This window comes from Homo sapiens, chromosome 10, assembly GCF_000001405.40.
Source record: "Homo sapiens chromosome 10, GRCh38.p14 Primary Assembly".
In the NCBI taxonomy this organism is placed as follows: Eukaryota; Metazoa; Chordata; class Mammalia; order Primates; family Hominidae; genus Homo; species Homo sapiens.
This window is the reverse complement of record NC_000010.11, coordinates 19271602-19295758: the sequence shown is the minus strand read 5'-3', so window position 1 is coordinate 19295758 and position 24157 is coordinate 19271602. Positions and strand designations below refer to the sequence as shown.

Below are 24157 nucleotides of genomic sequence, written 5' to 3'. Positions count from 1 at the left end.
GGTACTAGGGCTACAGTGTTGAACAAAATAGCCTCCTTTCTACCTTCCTGGAGCTTGAGGTCTAGGAGACACATGAAAGATCCTTCCTTTGCAAAACTATTCTTTCTGTCTGGTTTATGCCAATAAAACCTGTTCAATTACTTCAATTAATTTTTTAACTTCCAGCTTTTTTCTCTCAAACCTGTCTACATACAAATATCACAATAAATATTTAATAAACATCTATTATCTTCTGACTGCACACTTCAAACCAAGCCAAGGGCACAAACAGGACACACACACACACACACACACACCCAAAACATACTTGGGCAAGGCATAAAAAATGGTGAACTTCATTAGTACCAAAGACATAAAAATATATATACAATTGGATACTATTTTAACTTGTCAAATTAGAAAATATGAAAAAATACTTACATATTCAGTGTTGGCAAGCACATAGAAAGACAGACATCTCATAAACTGATTGCAAAAGTGGTACATTTTTGAGGAGTAATTGAGACTTATCAAATGTCTAAATTACGAATAATAATTTGTAATAATTTATAATAATAATAATTAACACAAAATTCTACTGTGTATGGTTTCATTTTCCTTTCAGTACATGATGTGACATGTGGCAAAGCTATACATTGTTCAACGAAGATTGATTAAAATTGTTTATCACCAAAAGCAACTAATAACAGTGATGACTTGAATTAGTAAATTTTGGTACATTCACTTAATGGAATACTCTTGACTCATAAAAATATTAATAAATAGATGATTACAGATTGCAAACAAAATTAAAACCATAGTCAAAAACAGTATGGTCAATATAAATGCATATTTATTAAAAATATATATGCTTATATGCATAATGTCCATATCATGATAGTAGGATTATGGTTAATGTATTGTCTTTCTTATCTATATCTAAACACTTTTCTAAAATAAAACTGTATTTTTCTTTCCATAGTGAAAAAAAGAAATTTTGTAGCAATAAAAAAGCTAAGAAATTCTTAACAGTGTATGGTTTTTACCCATTGTATTATTTTAGTTAACTTATATTATCCAACAAAATCCAAAGATAGAGAATGCCTTGGGTATCTTTAAAGACAGACATACAACCAAGCACACAGTCCTGACAGGTCGTTACCTGAGTGGACCACTCTTTCAGTAAGTAAAACTTTCTGCTGGGTTTTATACATCTACTTACAGTTTTCTGTTCTCACAGAGTAGGGCTCAGGAAACATATGACTAATGTTAAGGATAAATGGTATGCCTAGTCAATACAATCTATGAATCTTTTAGGCAATAAAAATGTTTGATTTGAGTAATTGATATATCTGCATAAATCACTATGTCACAAGAGCATACTGATGTCATAAAAATGATTCATATTTCATATGGCATATTCATTTGTTCAAGTTCTTGCCTCACTACAGGGAATCAAGTCTAATTTACCTTCACTTAGTTTGGGAAACGTTTTTCCTACAAATTTTGGGGGCAATTATAACAATTCTTCACAGGAGTTAGAATGTAAGTACAATTATTTCTTTTTAATGTGGTTAAAGGAAAAGCATATTTAAAGATTATATAATGAAAATGAATTTTTAATTTTTGAATGCAATTGTAAACGAGATATAAAAGTTATTATTTTATTATTAGTCAAAAATGCTGTGATCTTTGGTAACATAATTTTATAGACCTTTTTATGACTACCTTCTTAAAACTTTACCTTGTACAGCAAGTATGCTACCTAACCACTCACTCTCTGTGTCATTTTAGATATGGTTCGTATATTTTCAGCACAAATTTCTCTTAAATCCCATGTACCTCAAGCGACTGCATTTCGTTTTTTTGTAAACATTTAGGTTCAGGGGTACATGTGCAGGTTTGTCACATAGGTAAAATTCATGTAACGGGGATTTGTTGTAAAGATTATTTCATCCTCCAGGTAATAACGCTGGTACCCAAGTTATTTTTTCTGGTTCTCTTCCTCCTCCCACCCTCCACCCTCAAATAGGTCACAGTGTTTGTTGTTCCCTTCTTTGCGTCCAAGAGTTCTTATCATTTAGCTCCCACTTATAAGTGAGAGCATACAGTATTTGGTTTTCTGTTCCTGCATTATAGTTCGCTAAATATGATGGCCTTCAAATCCATCCATGTTCCCACAAAAGACATGATCTCGTTCTTTTCTAGTTAATTTTTAAAAATTATCCAGATAAAATATCTTTGAATAAAATCAAAATTAAAGTGATTTAATTTACTTGCGCACAACAAATTACTGATATATATGAAAATGCAAATAATAGATCCTTAACTCAAGGACAATCTAAAATAAGGACATTGTTTTGTGTGTTTAGAGGGATAATTGTGCTTTATATTCAGTCCTATGGCAATACTGCCAGAATGCTGCTTGACAACAAGTATCAAAACAGTTAAAAGAAAATAACTACATACTTGCATTTGGTGTCTTGGCAAAAAAATATATGTATATATAACTACAGTTGATTTAAATTTCAGCTGTTTGCACCACTTGCTTTTTATTGCACTAAAACTGTTTCTAAGGACTGGTATTTAACCATTATTTTAGTTAAAAGTCTTGATCTGTTAGAAATTATGCTGGGAGAATGTTATGGCTTCTAAACTGGCCTATAAAATATTGGCTTATCTTCTTACCAGAGAAGGCAATAATTCTGGTATTTACTGTCTAAGGGACTAAAGCTTTGAAAATTATTATCGTTACAGAAAAAAATTATAATATTTTCTCTTCACTGAAGCTTTTATCCACATTCATATCCAGCACTAGATATAGAAGGATACACAGAGTTAGTGTCACAGGGACATAGTTTGCATTTTTTTTTTTTTTTTTTTTTTTGAGGCAGAGTCTCGCTCTGTTGCCCAGGCTGGAGTGCAATGGCGTGATCTCGGCTCACTGCAAGCTCCGCCTCCCAGGTTCACACCATTCTCCTGCCTCAGCCTCCCGAGTAGCTGGGACTACAGGCGCCCGCCACCATGCCCGGCTAATTTTTTTGTATTTTTAGTAGAGACGGGGTTTCACCGTGTTAGCCAGGGTGGTCTCGATCTCCTGACCTCGTGATCCGCCCGCCTCAGCCTCCCAAAGTGATGGGATTACAGGCGTGAACCACCCCGCCCGGCCTGCATTATTTATGTGGCTTTTAGTTTATCATGATGTCAAATCTGCACAAATGTATAATACAGATAGGAAAGCAGGTGCATGAGCAGCAGTGGGGACCATAACTCATTTCCAACTGAAAGATAACGATCAGTGTTTTTTTTTAAATCTGGGTACTTCTACTTTTCAAGATAGTGTATATTCAAACAAATAGCTTCTCAACCACCTGTAAGCAAGTTCTAACATTTTAAGCAAATCCACAACATTTTAAAATATCCATCACTTCCAGGTAATCATGAGATTGGTATGTGTGTTTTTGTTTTGATCCAACAGAAAGACAAAGGTAATTTTGATTAGACCGAGAAGAGATCATGTATGCAAAAACGACAGAAAAAAACATTGTGTATTGTACAATAAATGAAGCAAGCCAAAGGGGGCCTTGAAATGATGTTTTTTAGACTGACTCAGGGTAGAGTTTTCCCTCAAAACTATTTTACAATTATAATAGTTCCTTTAGGACACACAAATTTGATTTTTTTTTTTTTTTTTTTTTTGAGACGGTCTTGCTCTGTCATCCAGGCTGGAGTGCAGTGGCACCATCTCGGCTTACTGCAAACTCCGCCTTCCAGGTTGTAGCTATTCTGACTCAGCCTCCTGAGTAACTGGGATTACAGGCACGCACCACCACGTATGACTAATTTTTTGCATTTTTAATAGAGATGGGGTTTCACCAAGTTGACCAAGCTGGTCTTGACCTCCTGACATCAAGTGATCCACCCGCCTCAGCCTCCCAAAGTGCTGGGATTACAGGTTGAAGCACTGCACCTGGCCCACAAATTTTATTTTTTTTAATGGAAGGACCTTAGAGCAATTTTTCTTTCTTATTTTGTTTTTTTAAATTAGTTATTACATTTAGAGAAAAATGAATCTTCTCTGATCAAAATTGGAATTAGGTGAGAAAGCGACCCTCTTTTAGCAATATCTTCCCCACTTCTTGCCTTGAAAGCCCCTAACAGTGAGATTCTAGAAGCATCTAGAATTTGTAAAAATACAAATTCCCAACTCCATTCCATGAATTTTTTTTTCTTTTTAGAGATAAAGTGTCATTCTGTCACCCAGGCTGGAGTGCAATGGCATGATCGTAGTGTACTACAACCTCAATTTCCTGGGCTCAAGTGATCCAACCACCTTTCCCCTCTCAATGGGATTACAGGTTTGAGTGACTGCACCTGGCCTCATTCCCAGAGATTTTAATCCAAGGTTTTAGAACCTGCATTTAAAAATGTATAAGCAAATTTATATATAAATTTTCAGTGGTCTTTAATCTCCATTTTGAGAATTTCCCCCAAGGGTTCTATGAGCAGAGTTAGAAACCAATGACCTAGAATACACATAGGTATTCTACCAGACATCATTTCACATGAATGAAGTGTGAGGAACTTTATTTTGCTTAAGGGAATAATTTTATACTAAAAAAAGTGTTAATATTAAACATTATTTAACCAATAGATTGGCATTTAGTGAAATAAAATGTATTTGAGGACCAAGAACTTAAAACTTTGCTCTCTAGATTCCAGCAATAAAAATGAATTGGATCAAATAAAGGCTTTTCTTATGAGATAAAAATGATCATAAAACTTACGGTGCTTGGCTATGAGCCAGTTTACATACTATAGAAACACTGCCTGGGCTAAGAGACTTGACCAATTAAACTAATTGTGTAGGTCAGAGTACAGGACTCTGAGATCATATAAAATCACAAACTGAGAGGAATCATTACACAAGACCTGCAAATATACAGTATTCTAAGTATATTTAAATGTGAACTATAAGGCTCAGATTCTAGGTGATCCAAGTATCTTGATTCAATGATAAGCAAATAATAATTTTTTAAAAAATTTCTCAGCTGAAGAGAACTCACAATTTTGCCAACTGCCTTAGTAGTTGTTGGAGCATGAATGGGTACAAACTCATTTTATTTAATACTAGATTATGATTCTTTTCTCAAAATACTAGGAAAAATACTTTTCTACTAAATATTCTCCTTCCCTACATAATTTAAAGGAAATGGAAATCTTATTCAACCCCAATCTCAAAAAAACATGTAAATTGCAACTGATGATATTGTCATTGAATGATTTTTACTTTATCTTTCCATTGCATTATAGTTGAGAGCAATATTTCCATATACCTTGATTACAACCCTAGAAAAATCACACCAGGTAACCTCAGTTGAGCCCTGCTGAGCAGGAGAAAGGGAGAATCCACTCACCGAACTCTGTGCTGAAAATGCCTCCATCTACAAGAAGAGATGCGTTTTTCTAATTCATGTAAAAATTAATAAACTAGCTGTATGGAATGGTGTTACTCTCCCACAAACATATAAAAAATAAAGATGCAATCTTAAATTTATATCACAGAGTTCACTTCTGATGTACCAAGGATAGTCCATTAAATTGTGGATGCAAAAAAAAGTAGAATATCAGGTAGTCATGTCATTTTCATGGTAAAAAATATGCATTTTAAGACCTTGCCTAAGACTCAACTACACAGTGAAAATTTCCCTACATATTCCTACCATACTGTGGCTTCTTTAGACTTTTTATTGTTTCATTAAGTGCATAAAGCGAGAGAATATTTTGAAATATATTATTGTGGGTTTTTTTCTCTTATACTTGCTTATAAATAATCCTTACTTTACTGAGCCAGAAGCAATCTTTGTCTCCAAGACAGCCGGGATCAGAGAAAGAGACAAGAAAGAATTGACAGAAAGCCTTCCAATTTTTAAAACTAATCTTGAGAACTATTTCCAAAACAACATCCTTAAAAACCTGGCTTTAAATTTCTATAGCAAGATGCCTGAGAGAGAAAAGCCAATTTAAAATTAGAAAAGTTTTCCTTCAAACACAAAAAACAAAATTTGGAAAACTGAACTTAGAATCTTACTATGAGCTATAGAGTAGGATATCTGATGCATAAGAACTGTTTTTTAAGAAAAGAAATAATCTCAAGCCTTCCTTGGCTGAGGAATGAGCCTAGAGAGAAAAGAAGAAAAGGAGAGGAGATATAAGGTTAGAGGCTGTTCCCTTCTCCACGATTTATTGTCATGTAGAGCACATATGTTAAATATTATCTGACCATTAAGCATTCCGATTTAAAAGTTAATTTTGTGTTCTGTAGCCTATAATTATAAAACACAAATATATTGATGCTAATTAGCAACTAATTCATTCAACAAATAATTATTGAGGCCTATTATGCACCAGACACTTGAAAATAATGCAACACATTGGGAAATCACAGCTCCTGGGATTCCTTAGGAAATTTCCAGTCTATTGAAAGTGGTAGGGTGAGAGGAAATACGGAAATACAAATTATTGCTTTTGACACATTGCTACTTCTACCTTTACCACTTATATGTGAAATTCTAGTCCACCTTTTCTTAATGGACTTATAGATTATTCATAAGATGTAGTTTATTGATATAAGCCACAAAAACTTTCTGTAAGTGTCCTTTGCTTTTTTTGTGAGTCAGAAGCAGCCCAAGGAAAAAAATTAAAGAAAAAAATTTTGAATAAAAAACTTTAAAAATTAAAACATATTAAATAAAAAACTGGAGCCATCTTAATAGAACAAAAACAATGACAAAAGAGAGATCCAAAAGCAGGGAGGGGGGAAATCAGCCTGAAGAAAATAACTGGATGTTAAAGATATTGTGAATCTCTTTAGTATAAGGCCCATCTGCAGAAGGAGGTCCCACACAGAGCAGCAGAGACACCATTAGTTTTCTTTGAAGCAGCAGCTACAGAGTCTGGGGGTTGTGAAGTTTTAACTGTGGAGAGGGCTGTAAGGGCATAAAGATTTTGAAAAGATTCTTTAATATAAGAGCATCTGCAATAACATTTCCCTGGAATCATCAGAATGAGAGGAGGAAGGATGGGATCTCGCAGGACTTGGGCACACAACAGAACTGTGGACTACAAAACAGGGGAAAGATACTAGTTACGGAACCTCAGAAAAAGAGAAGATACCAAAATAAATAACAAAGAACAAAATGAGGTCAGAAAATCCCTACTTAAAATAATTATTACCATGTATATGTGAGGAGCAAATGAACAAGGAAAAATGTAAAGAAAATGACACATGAAAAAGAAGCCAGAGAAGGATGAATACTTTGCTGGGAAGGGTAGCAGGAGGCTGGGAGGGAGGTGGGGATGATTAATGGATATAAAAAATAGAAAGAATGAATAGGACCTATTTAATAACACAACAGGGTTGTTATCATCGATAATAATGGTACATTTTAAAATAAAGAGAGTAACTGGATTGTTTGTAACTCAAAGGATAAATGCTTAGGGGATGGGTACCCTGCTCTCCATGATGTGATTATTATACATTGCATGCCTGTATCAAAACACCTTATGCAGTCCATAAATATATACACCTACCATGTACCCACAAAAATTAAAACTAGAGGTTTCAGTGAGCTGAGATTGAGCCACTGCACTCCAGCCTGTGTGGCAGAGTGAGACTCCAAAAAAGAAAAATAATTAAAACTAATAAAAAAAAGACACGGCCTTGAAAGATGGGTACTTGAAAAAACCCATTAAATTACTTTGCATGTCATGTTGCTTAATTTTTTTAAATTCATAAATTCATCTGAGTCAGTACCAACACATTCTTTCTCCCTGCTTGTTTACAGCAAGGAATATCCTTCTTCCAAGGTAAAATTAATAATTCCACCTATGTCTTAGATTCTGCTCCCTATAAACAAGTCCTAATAAAAAACAAGCTGAACAACTATATAACTATACACAGTCATGTGTCACTTAATGACGGGAATGAGTTCTGAGAAATGCATTGTTAGGTGAGTTGTCTTCACCTCAACATCATAGAACACAGTTACACAAAACTATATGGTATAGTTTTTAAATTTATGTATGCAATTTTATATGAAAAATCAAATATCCCAGCACCATTACCAAATATCAATCATTTTCCCTACTTGGTGTGTGGGAATGCAAATTGATTTTGCAACTGATATTGAGGAAAAGAACATTAAGATCATAAAACATCTACAGAAAAAAAGATAAGAAAACTATTAATTTTCACATAAAAATATAAACAAAGGAAACAATCATCATGCAATATCTAGCTCAGAAATTTAAAGAATCAGAATACTGCTAAGCTAATAACTTAAACAGAACTGTGTATAAATATACACAGTCGGAACGATGGGAGGGAGAGAAATAGGAATTTGGGGAGAGAAATAGAGGTTTTATTCCTCTTAATAGGATGTCAATAGAGGAAGCCAAAATTTTTGAATCAAGAAACGACTATATATTCTTTTATAAATATGGACTAGCACCTATAACCAATCCCTAATAAAAGTGAGAAAAGTATAGAGGAATGATCTTAGGACATAATAGGATATCTCCAGGGAATTGGATTGATATTACTGAAGGAATGACAGCTGTCATTATGACTGTCAATTCTCTTTGACACTTTTAGACTAGATGCATGCAGTCACTGTGATAAAAATTTGTTACATGTGGTACATAAAGATGAAAGAGGTAGACATAAAAAGTTGGTATGTATTACATTTATTGATTTGCGTATATTGAACCAGCCTTGCATCCCAGGGATGAAGCCCACTTGATCATGGTGGATAAGCTTTTTGATGTGCTGCTGGATTCGGTTTGCCAGTATTTTATTGAGGATTTTTGCATCAATGTTCATCAAGGATATTGGTCTAAAATTCTCTTTTTTGGTTGTGTCTCTGCCCGGCTTTGGTATCAGAATGATGCTGGCCTCATAAAATGAGTTAGGGAGGATTCCCTCCTTTTCTATTGATTGGAATAGTTTCAGAAGGAATGGTACCAGTTCCTCCTTGTACCTCTGGTAGAATTCGGCTGTGAATCCATCTGGTCCTGGACTCTTTTTGGTTGGTAAACTATTGATTATTGTCACAATTTCAGCTCCTGTTATTGGTCTATTCAGAGATTCAACTTCTTCCTGGTTTAGTCTTGGGAGAGTGTATGTGTCGAGGAATGTATCCATTTCTTCTAGATTTTCTAGTTTATTTGTGTAGCATATAAACAGAGCCAAAGACAAAAACCACATGATTATCTCAATAGATGCAGAAAAAGCCTTTGACAAAATTCAACAACCTTCATGCTAAAACCTCTCAATAAATTAGGTATTGATGGGACGTATTTCAAAATAATAAGAGCTATCTATGACAAACCCACAGCCAATATCATACTGAATGGGCAAAAACTGGAAGCATTCCCTTTGAAAACTGGCACAAGACAGGGATGCCCTCTCTCACTGCTCCTATTCAACATAGTGTTGGAAGTTCTGGCCAGGGCAATCAGGCAGGAGAAGGAAATAAAAGGTATTCAATTAGGAAAAGAGGAAGTCAAATTGTCCCTGTTTGCAGATGACATGATTGTTTATCTAGAAAACCCCATCGTCTCAGCCCAAAATCTCCTTAAGCTGATAAGCAACTTCAGCAAAGTCTCAGGATACAAAATCAATGTACAAAAATCACAAGCATTCTTATACACCAACAACAGACAAACAGAGAGCCAAATCACGAGTGAACTCCCATTCACAATTGCTTCAAAGAGAATAAAATACCTAGGAATCCAACTTACAAGGGATGTGAAGGACCTCTTCAAGGAGAACTACAAACCACTGCTCAAGGAAATAAAAGAGGATACAAACAAATGGAAGAACATTCCATGCTCATGGGTAGGAAGAATCAATATTGTGAAAATGGCCATACTGCCCAAGGTAATTTACAGATTCAATGCCATCCCCATCAAGCTACCAATGACTTTCTTCACAGAATTGGAAAAAACTACTTTAAAGTTCATATGGAACCAAAAAAGAGCCCGCATCGCCAAGTCAATCCTGAGCCAAAAGAACAAAGCTGGAGGCATCACACTACCTGACTTCAAACTATACTACAAGGCTACAGTAACCAAAACAGCACGGTACTGGTACCAAAACAGAGATATAGACCAATGGAACAGAACAGAGCCCTCAGAAATAACGCCGCATATCTACAACTATGTGATCTTTGACGAACCTGAGAAAAACAAGCAATGGGGAAAGGATTCCCTAGTTAATAAATGGTGCTGGGAAAACTGGCTAGCCATATGTAGAAAGCTGAAACTGGATCCCTTCCTTATACCTTATACAAAAATCAATTCAAGATGGATTAAAGATTTAAACGTTAGACCTAAAACCATAAAAACCCTAGAAGAAAACCTAGGCATTACCATTCAGGATATAGGCGTGGGCAAGGACTTCATGTCCAAAACACCAAAAGCAATGGCAACAAAAGCCAAAATTGACAAATGGGATCTAATTAAACTAAAGAGCTTCTGCACAGCAAAAGAAACTACCATCAGAGTGAACAGGAAACCTACAAAATGGGAGAAAATTTTCGCAACCTACTCATCTGACAAAGGGCTAATATCCAGAATCTACAATGAACTCAAACAAATTTACAAGAAAAAAACAAACAACCCCAACAAAAAGTGGGCGAAGGACATGAACAGACACTTCTCAAAAGAAGACATTTATGCAGCCAAAAAACACATGAAAAAATGCTCATCATCACTGGCCATCAGAGAAATGCAAATCAAAACCACTATGAGATATCATCTCACACCAGTTAGAATGGCAATCATTAAAAAGTCAGGAAACAACAGGTGCTCGAGAGGATGTGGAGAAATAGGAACACTTTTACACTGTTGGTGGGACTGTAAACTAGTTCAACCATTGTGGAAGTCAGTGTGGCGATTCCTCAGGGATCTAGAACTAGAAATACCATTTGACCCAGCCATCCCATTACTGGGTATATACCCAAATGACTATAAATCATGCTGCTATAAAGACACATGCACACGTATGTTTATTGCGGCATTATTCACAATAGCAAAGACTTGGAACCAACCCAAATGTCCAACAATGATAGACTGGATTAAGAAAATGTGGCACATATACACCATGGAATACTACGCAGCCATCAAAAATGATGAGTTCATGTCCTTTGTAGGGACATGGATGAAACTGGAAACCATCATTCTCAGTAAACTATCGCAAGAACAAAAAACCAAACACCGCATATTCTCACTCATAGGTGGGAATTGAACAATGAGATCACATGGACACAGGAAGGGGAACATCACACTCTGGGGACTGTGGTGGGGTGGGGGGAGGGGGGAGGGATAGCATTGGGAGATATACCTAATGCTAGATGACGAGTTAGTGGGTGCAGCGCACCAGCGTGGCACATGTATACATATGTAACGAACCTGCACAATGTGCACATGTACCCTAAAACTTAAAGTATAATGAAAAAAAAAAAAAGTTGGTATGTAAAATACAAACATGCTTACAACACTAGAAAATATTCATGCATTTCACAAAAGTGAAAAAAGTTCAAAATGGACAAAAGCCTTAATAGTCAATAAAGAAAAATATTACATTTGTTATGTAGTCTGCTCTTCTTATCCCACCCCAGCCATGCTGGTCTTCCTGTATGGTCCTGGCTCAGGGCCTTTCCCTTTGTGTTCCATTCAGAAAGAAATGCTCCATCACTAACAAACCCTTTCCTTGTTTCCCTTCTGCTGTGTAGCAGTTAACACCATCTGCAGCGCTTTCTATTTATTGACTTGCTGCCTGTCTCCCTAATGAGAGCAAGGATCATCTGTTTCAGTCACTCGTTTATTTCTAGTGCCTACCGCAGCGTTCTCACACAGTAGGCACTCTATTTCTTCTTTGAAGCAACTTTATAATATTGAGATAACGTGAAATTAACTGGGAAATCCACTAGTTGAGAAAGTTGAGAACAGATTAGTAAATTGTTGAAAGTCATTACAGTGAAATGCAAATAATGATGAATATTTAATGGCATGATTTATTGAGAAGTGGAAAAATCTTTTCACCTATGTTGAAAATCTGCACATTTACCTGTGTTCATACATGTATGACAAATACACATCGGAGTGAGAAAAAGTAGGAAGACAGAAAGGGGAAAGGGGAGGGGAAAAAAGGGAGGCTGAAGAAGAGGAAATGGGAGGAGGAGGTGGTGGAAGAGATGGAAAAGGGAAGGAGAAAAGACATTTGGGGAGGCAAGACATCCATAGATCATTTTAAAAACAATATACTAACAGGGCTTTTCAAAGAGTGATAATATTAAATTATTTTGTTCACTTATTCATGTTCTTCTCCGGTTTCTATGAAATTCACAAGAGCATTCATTGCTTTTTTAATTGATAATTTTTCCATTTTGTATGAAAGAAAACAGCCTCCTTTTCAACTTAACATTTGTCTTTACAGTAGCATTGGCCTAGGATAAGGTGGTGGGGGCAGAAATTTGGGAGATGCTTAATAAATATTTCCCAAGAGAGATATTCAAAATACATGGTCACTTACTGTGTATGATCCACTGATGGCCTGTGGTTTTCTTCCCCATGATGAATGCTGATCCCGTTCCCAAGCCCCCACCTGAATGTGTTTGAATCTTGAAGCAAATGTACTGGGATTGGTTGATACCATTTACACAGGCTTCTTTTCTCAAAGCTGCAAACTTCCATAACTTGGATGGGGTAGAACAAAGAAAAGGTGAGCTAGTAAGTGGCAGTTTCTATCTGTACAATCTTAATCAGCACTTTCTTACTCTTGTTTTTAATTCTAATGTAACTTTTAAACATTATTAAAATAATTAGGCAAATGGTTTGTAAAATCACTGGAAGAGTTTCAAAGAAATCTAGGTTTATTCTAGTCAAATATTTATAGGAAAAAATATAGGAAAAAATACATATACTAATGATCTGGTTTCATGAGGAGGTGAGATTTTAATTAGCTTCTAAAGCAGCAATTTAAGCACTTCCATTAAGCAATTTCATTGCTTGCATGATCTCCAAGTTCTGACAAGTCTGTTCTTTTCTCAGTCTCTGAAGGGGTTATTGCTAATTCCCAACTTCAGTTTAAGCAACGAGGTTTCCAATAACTTTTATATTGGACCTGTTTCCTATAAAGTTTTACAGATTCTTGTAATAATTTTATTCTAATATCACAGGAAATTACAGGTCCAGCGATTTTTTAAAATGTACAGGTTATGTGTAAAACTGTTATCTGAATTCTCTCTCCGAATGTGTTCATGTGTCTAAAATCTTCCACTGCTGAATAAAAAAGAAATATTCATTCAATGAAATTCTTGTGTATACTATAGAAAACCTGGTGTGCACTCTAGCTTTTAAGTGACATTAATAGTGGCAGCATACCACTATGACCATTTAGAAATTTGGGTATATGAGTTAATGTGAAATCTGAAAAGGAAACATTTAAAAAAGTGTTTTCAGTCATGACATTCAGGCGTATTAGTTAATCTAAACAAACATTAATTGTTTATCTTGTGAAGGGATTTAGGATCCAATATATCTCTGTTCTTCATATCATTTAAAATATATAATTTGTAGGCTTTTAATAGAACTATCGGAAAATATAACATGTCAAGCAAGATGAATAGGTTCTAGGGATCTGCTGTACAATATTACAGTAGAGTCAACCATAATGTATTGTACCCTTAGCATTTTGTTAAGATGGTAGATCTCATGTTATGTGTTCATTTTTTTTTTTTTTTTTTTTTTTGGAGACATCGTCTCACTTTGTCATCCAGGCCAGAGTGCATTGGCACGATCTCGGCTCCCCCTCCCAGGCTCAAGCAATTGTCCTGCTTCAGCCTCCTAAGTAGCTGGGATTACAGGCACACGCCACCACACCCAGCTAATTTGTGTATTCTTTTTGTAGAGATGGGGTTTTGCCATGTTGGCCAAGCTGGTCTCAAACTCCTGGGCTCAACTGATCTGCTCACCTTGGCCTCCCAAAGTGCTATGATTACAGGCGTGAGCCACTGCACCTGGCCATGTTATGTGTTTTTATCACAATTTTCAAAATCAGTTAGAAAATCTGTATAGTTTACAAGCAGATTTGTCATACTATTTTATCTTACAAAAGGGTGGAAGAGACAATATCTCAGTTTATTCATAAATAAAATGGTAATAATTCATTTATATTTGTTCAAAATTATAAAAACTATTTGACTAAGAATAACTTAATAGTAGGCACTCATTTAGGACACTTAAAGAATTTATCAAAACTTCCCCTCTAATCATAAACGACATCACTAAAACGGCAAAGTTGAACTTAGAGGAAATTCGGTATTCCCTAAAGATACTCATTTTGTGTAATTAATTAGGTTTTGTATAAACTCTTACAAACACTACAACTTATATAAGATCATAAGGGGATTCGAATGCCTTCCGATGAGCAAGTCTGAACACCACCACACCTTCCATTGTATTATTTTCCATCTGTGATGCATGATATAAATCCCTGGCTAGCTTGAGTTAATTACTGTCTCATCTTATGCATGAAGTGAGTCAGCTTTGATTTTATGACTTTTTTAGTCTAGATTAGATAGTTAATTGGTGGTGTATTTGTACATTAAAAAACATTTTTTTCTAGATTAAAAGAATAAATATGAACCTCACTGGATTTCTTAAGTCCTAGAATTTCTTCACAAGGTTGACATAAAACAAGGGTTTCACTACTCTCTCTGTGTTATCTGTCTGTTCTAAGCCCTTAATATTATCAAGACACTTGAGAAATATGATGGTACAGTCAATTCACAGGCTACTCCATGAAGAACAGGGAAGGGAAAGATATTTCAAAGTGTTTACCCTTCTGATCTTATGCTTTGCTCATTAAGACACAGATTAATTTTTCTCCTCTTAGACTGTATCTTTGGCTGAGAAGCCCATTTTTAAACTAAATAGTTTGTCTTTGATCCATTTAGGAAAAGCCATTGAATTGGCAGGTACCATTGAATTGGCAGGTAAAAACCAGGACACAGGGGATAAAGGTCTCATTTGCATTAAGATAGGTTTTCTCATGAACTCTGCATATTTTAATAGTACTAATGTTGTATGTGCATTTTGGCAATGGCAAAATTTGAATAAATTAATTTGACAGTACTATAAAGCTACCTCCCTAAACATTCCCTATTTTATAGTGTGAGGAGTACAGATCAAAGGGAATGGATGGAAAGAGCTACTAAATGCTACTCCCAGAGTCAAGTAAAGTTTGTGAAAACGATAGTTTTGAATCCAAAACGTTAATCTAAAGACACTTACCACTTACGGGGCCTGGCAGAAAATGCATTCTGATTCTTCCATTACAATTTTCTGTATGAATAACTGTTACATTTAGAAGTTGCTCTAACTCATGTTGAATATATCTAACTATGATGCTAGGCTGTGCTACTTAGAGATTACACTTGCATTTTCTATTTTGTAGCAGTATTTAAACAAATTTTAAGAATCCACCTACCACAGGATGCTTCATCTGATTTGTCAGGGCAGTCATATTTAAAATCACATTTCTGCATTTTTTCAATGCAGTGACCATCAGACCTGCAGATAAATTCATTGTCTGTGCAGTTGTGTGGAGGTAATGTTACAGGAACTGACGTTTCTGGTGGAGTTGGGAGGTCTGCTGGCAAATTACCTTGATAAGAAATAATATACAGGCATCATTTAGCAGGTTTTCTGGTTTTCTACTGCTTTAGAGATTTTACACAATGAAGCTTTCTAAATATGCCCCACAATATCATAGAGAACAGTGGGTAGTATCAGCTACTCTGCTAAAATAAAATCGAGGTTCTTGTTTTTAGTAACAGTAAATAACTAAACATCTTTGATCATGACAAATGATGATGGTACAGATGGAAATTACTGGAAAGCTATTCAGAGCTCACCAAATCAATGGGAGGCCCAAGGCCAGGGCTTAGAGAATCAGCAGGAACCAAGGGAGTTTCAGATTCTGGAATTAAGAGCCAGAGTAAAGATCTAAATAACTTTCTAATTTACTAGGTAAATAACCTTTGTTCTTCCACTGCTACAATAAATCTAACATCTCCTCATCTTTGTTTAACATATTTTCACTTATTTAAAATTCAAGGTTTCAGGAAAGAGTCAAACCAGAAATCCTCATCTAGAAATTTTGTACAAGATTACAATTTCTGAAATTACTGAGGATGGAAGACATTTATAGATGTTGACTGATTTATTAGTTATTCAATAAACATGTATTGATAACATGTCTGTGCCATACACGTGGTAGATGCAGGGAATCCAAGCTGTGGAGAAAAAGTTAAATATTAAACCTGAACTAAATTGAACATGGACACAAAGAATGATCACCAAGTCCCAGAACGGGTTGTGTGAGCCCCTTCAGGCTTTCATCCAGTGTTGTTTAGAAGAAATCTCTATTTCAATGTATTCCTATATGTTAGTTATTGAAAAACAACAACAATCACAAAAACAAGTCAACCTTTTTGTGTTCCTTGGGCCCAGTCACAAAGGACCCTTGTGACTGGACCTCATGCCAAACAACTCATTACAAAAAGAGCTAGGGTCCCAGGCTGCTCCGAAGCTTCATGAGACCTCTCCTCCTCTGTGCATGGACGACTGGCCAACTCTGGAGCCTAGGCCGCTGCTTCTGGGCCTAGTGGTGAATCCTCCATTGTCTGGTGAGTGCAGTGTCCAACTCTGGAGCCCAGGCTGTTGCTTCCCAGTTTGGTGGTGAATCGTCCATAGTCTGGTGAGTGTAAATATGTATATATTTTTCCCTTCTCCCCTTCCCATTGCAATTTACTTATTATATCATTTGCTTATTATATCAATTTGCTTATGTTAATTTGCTTATTATATCATTTGCTTATTATATCTGCATTGCTATTTATGTGGGATAAAGCTTGTTTACCCTTAAAGGTATTGTGTGTGTGTCTTTCCTTCTCTCCTCGTGCATTTTTTGCACAGAACACAAGTCAAATATGCCATCTCTGCCATTAAATAGTTTACATCTAGTGGGCAAGGCAGTCAGATGTATCTTTCATTACAGGTATTTGGGATAAATTTATGGTAAAGATATAACCCCAGGGAAGCAAGAATGGCATCTTTCATCCCTGCATCCATAGCACAATTCATGGACCATGGCATATGGTAGGTATACTAACATTGACAAGTGAATAAATGGATGGATAGATGGACAGATGGATGGATGGATAGATGGATGGATGGATGGATGGATGGATGGATGGATGGATGGACAGATGAATGAATACCAGAGTGGATGAATGAATAAAATAACAAATGGAAGATTTCACAGTGTATTGAAAGAAAACAGAGGAAAACCATATATCAGATGGGAGTCAAATAAGATGCCGTGGCAAGCTGATGCTTAAACTTTCAAAGGTTGATGAGCTCATCTTGCCAGGTGAAAAAGAATACAAGGTCTTTATGGGCAATGAGAAAAAACTTGTGTGAATGCATGGAAATACATTAAACTGTTTTTTTTATTTTAAATACTGTGAGAATTTAACATGATAATATCTTGTGATATGATAAGCATGTGTCTGATTGACTCATTAGATATGGAACTGGAGAGCAGACAGTTACCATAAAGAGCCAGCTGAAATCAACCTGGGAGTCTGAAATAAACACACAAAAATATGGAGAAATAACAAGATATAAAATGTCTATTTCAAGATGCACTTTTTGGCATCAGTGTGAAGCATGAATTGTAGGTTGCTCTAACATTGGAAAAAAAATAATAGTTAGAATAGTTAACCTCTTTCTTTAATCCAGTCAACTAATAAACCAAAACAGAGATGGTTTAAAGGAAAGAGCAAAAATCTGAGCAATATTAAATGTCCAGTATCTGGAGGACTGGGGATTTACATGCTGTTGGGAATCTGGGGAAAGTCCAATAACTAGTAGTTTATTTCTTAGCTCAAATGCAGAGGCAATTAAGACCTAAGATTGAAGATAGATCAAAATATCAACTTTTTATTGATATAGCTAAAGAAGAAAATTTCCTATTTCTGTAGACAAGTGGTCTTCTAAAATGTGAAACCCAGAAATAAGACCCCGAACTATGTCTTCCAGGCTACCCTGTGTGAAACTATAGCAAGGAGAGTTGACCAGATTTCATATTTCCTCAGCTAGTAAACATTAAAAAGAAAAGAGGAGGTGAGGGACCAGGCATGCATACTCAGATTCTTCTTGAAAACTCACCAATCCATTGTTGCTCTTCCTTCCTCTGGGAAGGAATGAATAAGAGGATGAAGAGAGACCAGGAATATTAGGCTACCAGGTAGAGCTCAGTCTACATGAGAGATTAAGACCAAGGAAATAGTATTCTGATCCCTTAGGGGTGAGTTTGAAATGATTAATAGATTGTTAAGTAAATGAGCATTCTATTCCCCAAGATCAGATATATAAAATATAGAAGAGGAGTCAGTTTTTAGGGATAAGAAATATTTTCTCACCAGGTGTGGTGGCTCACACCTATAATCCCAGCACTTTGGGAGGCTAAGGCAGGTGGATCACTTGAACTCAGGATTTTGAGACTAGCCTGGGCAACATGGTGAAACCTCATCTCTACAAAAATAAAAACTACAGAAATTAGCTGGGCATGGTGGCCCACACCTGTAGTTCCAACTACTTGGGAGGCTAAGGTGGGAAAATCACTTGAGTTGGGGAGGTTGAGGCTGCAGTGAGCCGATATCACACCACTGCACTCTGGTCTGGGTGACAGAGTAAGACCCCACCTTCCCACCCCCCAACCCAAACAAAAAATAAAAAATTAAACAATCAAAATAAAATAAATGTAAAAAGAAATATTTTCTATCCTAAAATAGAAAGCCAATGACAACACCACAAAAAAAAAGGAGATCCTAACAGGTTGGAAACTTTATCTCACATCCAGTTGGATATACTCACGTCTAACTCATTGAACAAACATAAGAACTCAATTAGAGGTCAAAGTTATTACCTTCCATAGAAATCTGACGGATCCAACGTTATAATAAAACGTGAAAAAAAATTAAAAAGGGAATCATTTTATCATTTTTGAATGCTGATGACTTTGAAGATCTTGAAGGACAGAGTCTGAATCAGAGAAAGAAAAATTCGCTAGCCTTGATGAAAAATTATTTTCAAATAAATCTATAATGAGATTATAAAAATCACTTCTGAGGGAATTTGCTGAGGACTGCAAAACATTCAATGGCCAGGTTGATGGATATTTTATATGTCTCAGTGGAATATATGGAACAAATTTCTTTGAAAATCATCCTTTTAAAATGTTTAAATACAAGGTCTTAAAAATAATCTAATTTGATCGCTAAATTTGTTGTGCCATTTCAGAGCATAATTTACTTACATAATTTTACTGAAAATATATATATATATAATTAAAATGCATTAGAAGATGCATGTAAACTTTTTATTTGTATGTCCTATATCAAAAATGGCATCTGGAAAGTGACGTATTTTGTCAAAGTTTCAATGAAAGTTTGCCTTTAACCAAAGCAGGATGTCAAGCTCTTTCACTTCAGCACATGCTCATCCAAGCTGGTCTGTTCCATATTTAGATAATAAAGTTTTAGTTTAAGACAAAGATTTTAATTCCACAGAGATGACTGTCATTTGCACTGAGAAAAATGTTCTATGCTCCAATTTAGGCAGCCATTTTGAAATGCGTTAATTTCAAGAGAGAATGGGTAAATTTGTGTTCCAAGCTCAGGGTAAATACACATTACTAGAACAGTAAAAGTCTTAAAAAACAGTGGATCACACATGTTTTCCTATTCTTCACATTGCTGTATATTATGTATATTTATGGAAATAGACATTTACAATTAATCATCTTACCTTAATACACAGAAACTTCAATAAACAGCTAAATGGAAACACATATATGATGTTCTTCACTGACTGTACTACTTTAAACTTGCTCGATAATACACTTCTAGTCACAAATACCTAGGATTTACTGATTTCTGATTTTATTTATTATTTTATTTTTATTTTTATTTTTTGAGACAGAGTCTCGCTCTGTCGCCCAGGCTGGAGTGCAGTGTCGCGATCTCCACTCACTGCAAGCTCCGCCTCCCGGGTTCACACCATTCTCCTGCCTCAGCCACCTGAGTAGTGGGGACTACAGGCGCCCGCCACCACGCCAGGCTAATTTTTTTGTATTTTTAGTAGAGACGGGGTTTCACTGTGTTAACCAGGATGGTCTTGATCTCCTGACCTCGTGATCTGCCCGCCTTGGCCTCCCAAAGTGCTGGGATTACAGGCGTGAGCCACCGCACCCGGCCGATTTCTGATTTTATTATTCTTCCTTCAAGAGAAGAACATTTCAGGGCAGGACAGAAGCCCAGCGAATTGAGTGTCAATAACTTTGCATTTGAGACAAAGAAGACATCGACTGAACTGCTTCAGATTCAATTACATCTTTTCTTTAAAAAAATGACTTTAATTATGAATAACTTTAAACATTCATATAAATTAAGAAAATTATATAATAGATACATGACTCCACCACTAAGACTAAATAAATTGTTATTATAGCATTGTTTCAGATCCTTATATTAACAAATAAATGAGGAAGAAAGAATAGAAAGAAAGAAAACCTTTCTATAAAGCTCAGACCTCATTCTTCCTCTTTCTACCCCTTCACTAATGCCTTCAGAGGGACCCTTATCCGAATACTAGTTTGTACCAATTTGTATTTTCTCATGTTTGTTTTCTAATTGTTTTTATTGTGGTAAATAGTATTAAGGCTATTCACAAGGTTGTACAACAGATCTTTAGAGCTTTTTTTAATCTCAAAAACCAGAAACTATATCCATTAAACACTTGTTCCCCTTCCTTCCTGCCTCCCCCCAGCTCTCGGCAAGCACCTTTCTACATTTGTTTCTACGATATTGACTACCTTAAATAATTCATATGAGTTGAGTCCTACAATGGTTGTACTTTCCTGACTGGCTTATTTAGCTTAGCATGATGTCCTCGAGGTTAATCCATTGTCTTAGTCAGTTCAGGCTGCTATAACACATTACACACTGAGTGTCTTAAACAGCCATTTATTTATCTTAGTTCTGAAGGCTGGGAAGTGTAAGCTCAAGGTGCCAGCAGAAGTGGTGTCTGGCCCACTTCCTGGTTTGCTGATGGCCATTTTCTCCTTGTATCCTCACATGGTAGAGAATAGGGAGAGAAAAAGCAAGCTCTCTCCTGTCTTTTTATAAAGGCATTGATTCCATCCATGAAAGCTTTACTCTCCTGACCTAATTATCCCACATACAAATACCATCACGTTGGGGGTTGGAATGTCAACATATAAATTTTGGGAAAATACGTTCAGTCCACAGCATCTATGTGGCAGCATGTGATGGGATTTCCTTCCCCCTTAAGGCTGCATGATATTCCATTGTATGTATATACCACATTTTCTTTATCCAATCATCTGTTAATAGACATTTGGGTTATTCTACCTCTTAGCTATTGTGAATAATGTGGCAATGACACAAGGGGAGGCAAAAATCTCAAGATTCTGCTTGAATTATTTTGGATATGTATCTGAAAGTAGCATTGCTACATCATAGGATAATTCTATTTTTAATTTTTTGAGGAATGGTCATACTGCTTTCCATAATGGCTAAACCACTTTACAGTCCCACCAGGAATGCACAAGAATTTTGATCTCTCTATAGTCTCATAATGCTATTTTTCATTATTTGGATAGTGGCCATCCTAATGGGTATGAGGTGATGTCTCATTGTGGTTTTGATTTCCATTTTCCTTATTTGATCATGTTGAGCATGTTTTCCTATGCTTGTTGGACACTGGCATATCTTTTTGTTTTCATCAACCCCAAATCTGACACCCTATTCCTGTCAGCACTTAGATCAGCAATTACAGTATCATGCAGACTAGTTTTACTGCTCTAAAAATCCTCCATCTATGCATCCTACCCTCTCCCCTAAACAATGGCAAACACTAATGTTTTTACTATCTCCATAGTTTTGCTTTTTTCCAGAACGTCATATTGTCAGAATCATAGGGTATGTAGCCTTTTCATATTGGCTTCTTCTGCTTAGTAACAGGCAGGTAAATTTCCTTCATATCTCAGCTTGACAGCTCATTTATTTAGCATTGAATAATATTTTTATCTGGATGTGATCCAGTTTATTACCTATTTATCTACTGAAGGACATCCTGGTTGCTTCCAAGTTTTAGCAATTGTGAATAAAGCTGCTATAAACACCTATCTGTATCTAGGTTTTTTGTGTGAATATACTCATTTGGGTAAATACTAAAGCACTTGATTGCTGGATGACATGGTAAGACTATGTTTAATTCTAAAAGAAAATATCAAACCTTTTTCAAAGCGGCTATATAACTTGGTATTTCTACCAGCAATGAACGTGAATTCCTGTTGCTCCACATCCTTGCATTTCACATTTGACATTTTAATTTGTATTTTCCCAATTATGGAAATTATGAAAATTATTGAGATTGTAAAAATTATATAATTTTTACATCAAGAAATATTTTGGGTGGGAGTGTAAATTAGTTTAACCATTGTGGAAGACAGTGTGGCAATTCCTCAAGGATTTAGAACCAGAAATACCATTTGACCCAGGAATCCCATTACTGGATATATACCCAAAGGATTATAAATTATTCTACTATAAAGATACATGCACACATATGTTTATTGCAGCACTATTTACAATAGCAAACATTTGGAACCAACCCAAATGTCCATCAATGATAGACTGGATAAAGAAAATGTGGCACATATACACCATGGAATACTATGCAGCCATAAAAAAGAATGAGTTCATGTCCTTTGCAGGGACGTGGATGAAGCTGGAAACCATCATTCTCAGCAAACTAACACAGGAACGGAAAACCAAACACCACATGTTCTCACTCACAGTGGGAGTTGAACAACAAGAACACATGGACACAAGGAGGGGAATATTACACACCGGAGCCTGTGGTGGGTGGAGGGCAAGGGGAGGGATAGCATTAGGACAAATACCTAATGCATGCACGGCTTAAAACCTAGATGAAAGGTTGATGGGTGCAGCAAACCACCATGGCACATGTATACCTATGTAACAAACCTGCACGTTCTACACATGTATCCCGGAACTTAAAATATAATAAAAATAAATAAAAGATAAAATTTAAAACGAAATATTTTTAAATACTTTTAAAGGGCCACTTTGGTATTTTGCTCTGGCTTATAACTGATGGTTCATATCTCCTATTCTTTTTCCAATTGGATTATAGTTTTCTTATTTACAGGTTTATATTCCACAAACTCCACTCTAATCCTCTTATTTATCTGTATGACAAATATATTCTCCTAGTCTGTGAAATGTCTTTTTGTTTTGTATGGTGTCCTTCAAAATAAAAAAAAATTTAATGACCTTTAATTTATCAATCACTACTTCTATGATTAATGCCTTAAAGTTTCTCTAATTTTTTTCTCTAATATTCGAGATGTTTCTATAATTTTTAAATTTTGATAGTTGTGGTTTGCACATTTAAGTCTTTACTTTAGACTTTATTGTATATTATCTATGATTATAATCTAATTTATATAAATAGCCAGTTTTGATCTATTAGTCTATTGAGCAGCACAAACTTTTCTCACTTGTTTACATTTTATTATGAAATGTATAAATTTTTATTACACATGAATAAAATGAAATGTCAATTTCCTGATAGTTTTGAAGCCTCCAGTGTTTTTCTTGCTGATTCTAACCCCTCATTGCTCATCTCTCAAGGTGAGTAGTATACTGAATTATTTTTCATTTATTTGCTTTTATGATTTTTTTCATTTGCAAGTACACCAAATATCCTCTCACAGTTTCTATTTCATTAGGTTGTTATGTGATTAAATGAGTTAACTTTTATATTTTTTTGAGACAGAATCTCGCTCTGTTGCCCAGGATGGAGTGCAGTGGTGAGATCTCGGCTCACTGCAACCTCCACCTCCCGGGTTCAAGTGATTCTCCTGCCTCAGCCTCCCAAGTAGCTGGGACTACAGGTGTGTGCCACCACACCTGGCTAGTTTTTTGTGTTT

The 24157-nt window shown here is 35.7% G+C and overlaps 1 protein-coding gene across 11 annotated transcripts in view; it reads right to left on the bottom strand.

Moving 5' to 3' along the window:
- The window catches only part of MALRD1 (MAM and LDL receptor class A domain containing 1), a 687552-nt gene that overhangs the window by 438720 nt on the left and 224675 nt on the right, over positions 1 to 24157 (bottom strand). For 10 of the 11 annotated variants that reach the window (XM_011519453.3, XM_011519455.3, XM_011519454.2 and 7 more), the window contains 2 exons: positions 15536 to 15712; positions 12578 to 12740 (listed from right to left, as the gene is read on the bottom strand). In XM_011519453.3, the coding sequence (XP_011517755.1) occupies positions 12578 to 12740; positions 15536 to 15712 (340 nt within the window). Of the gene's footprint in view, positions 1 to 8711; positions 9199 to 12577; positions 12741 to 15535; positions 15713 to 24157 lie in introns of those variants that run through there. The other variant, XM_047425168.1, reaches the window with a different exon arrangement.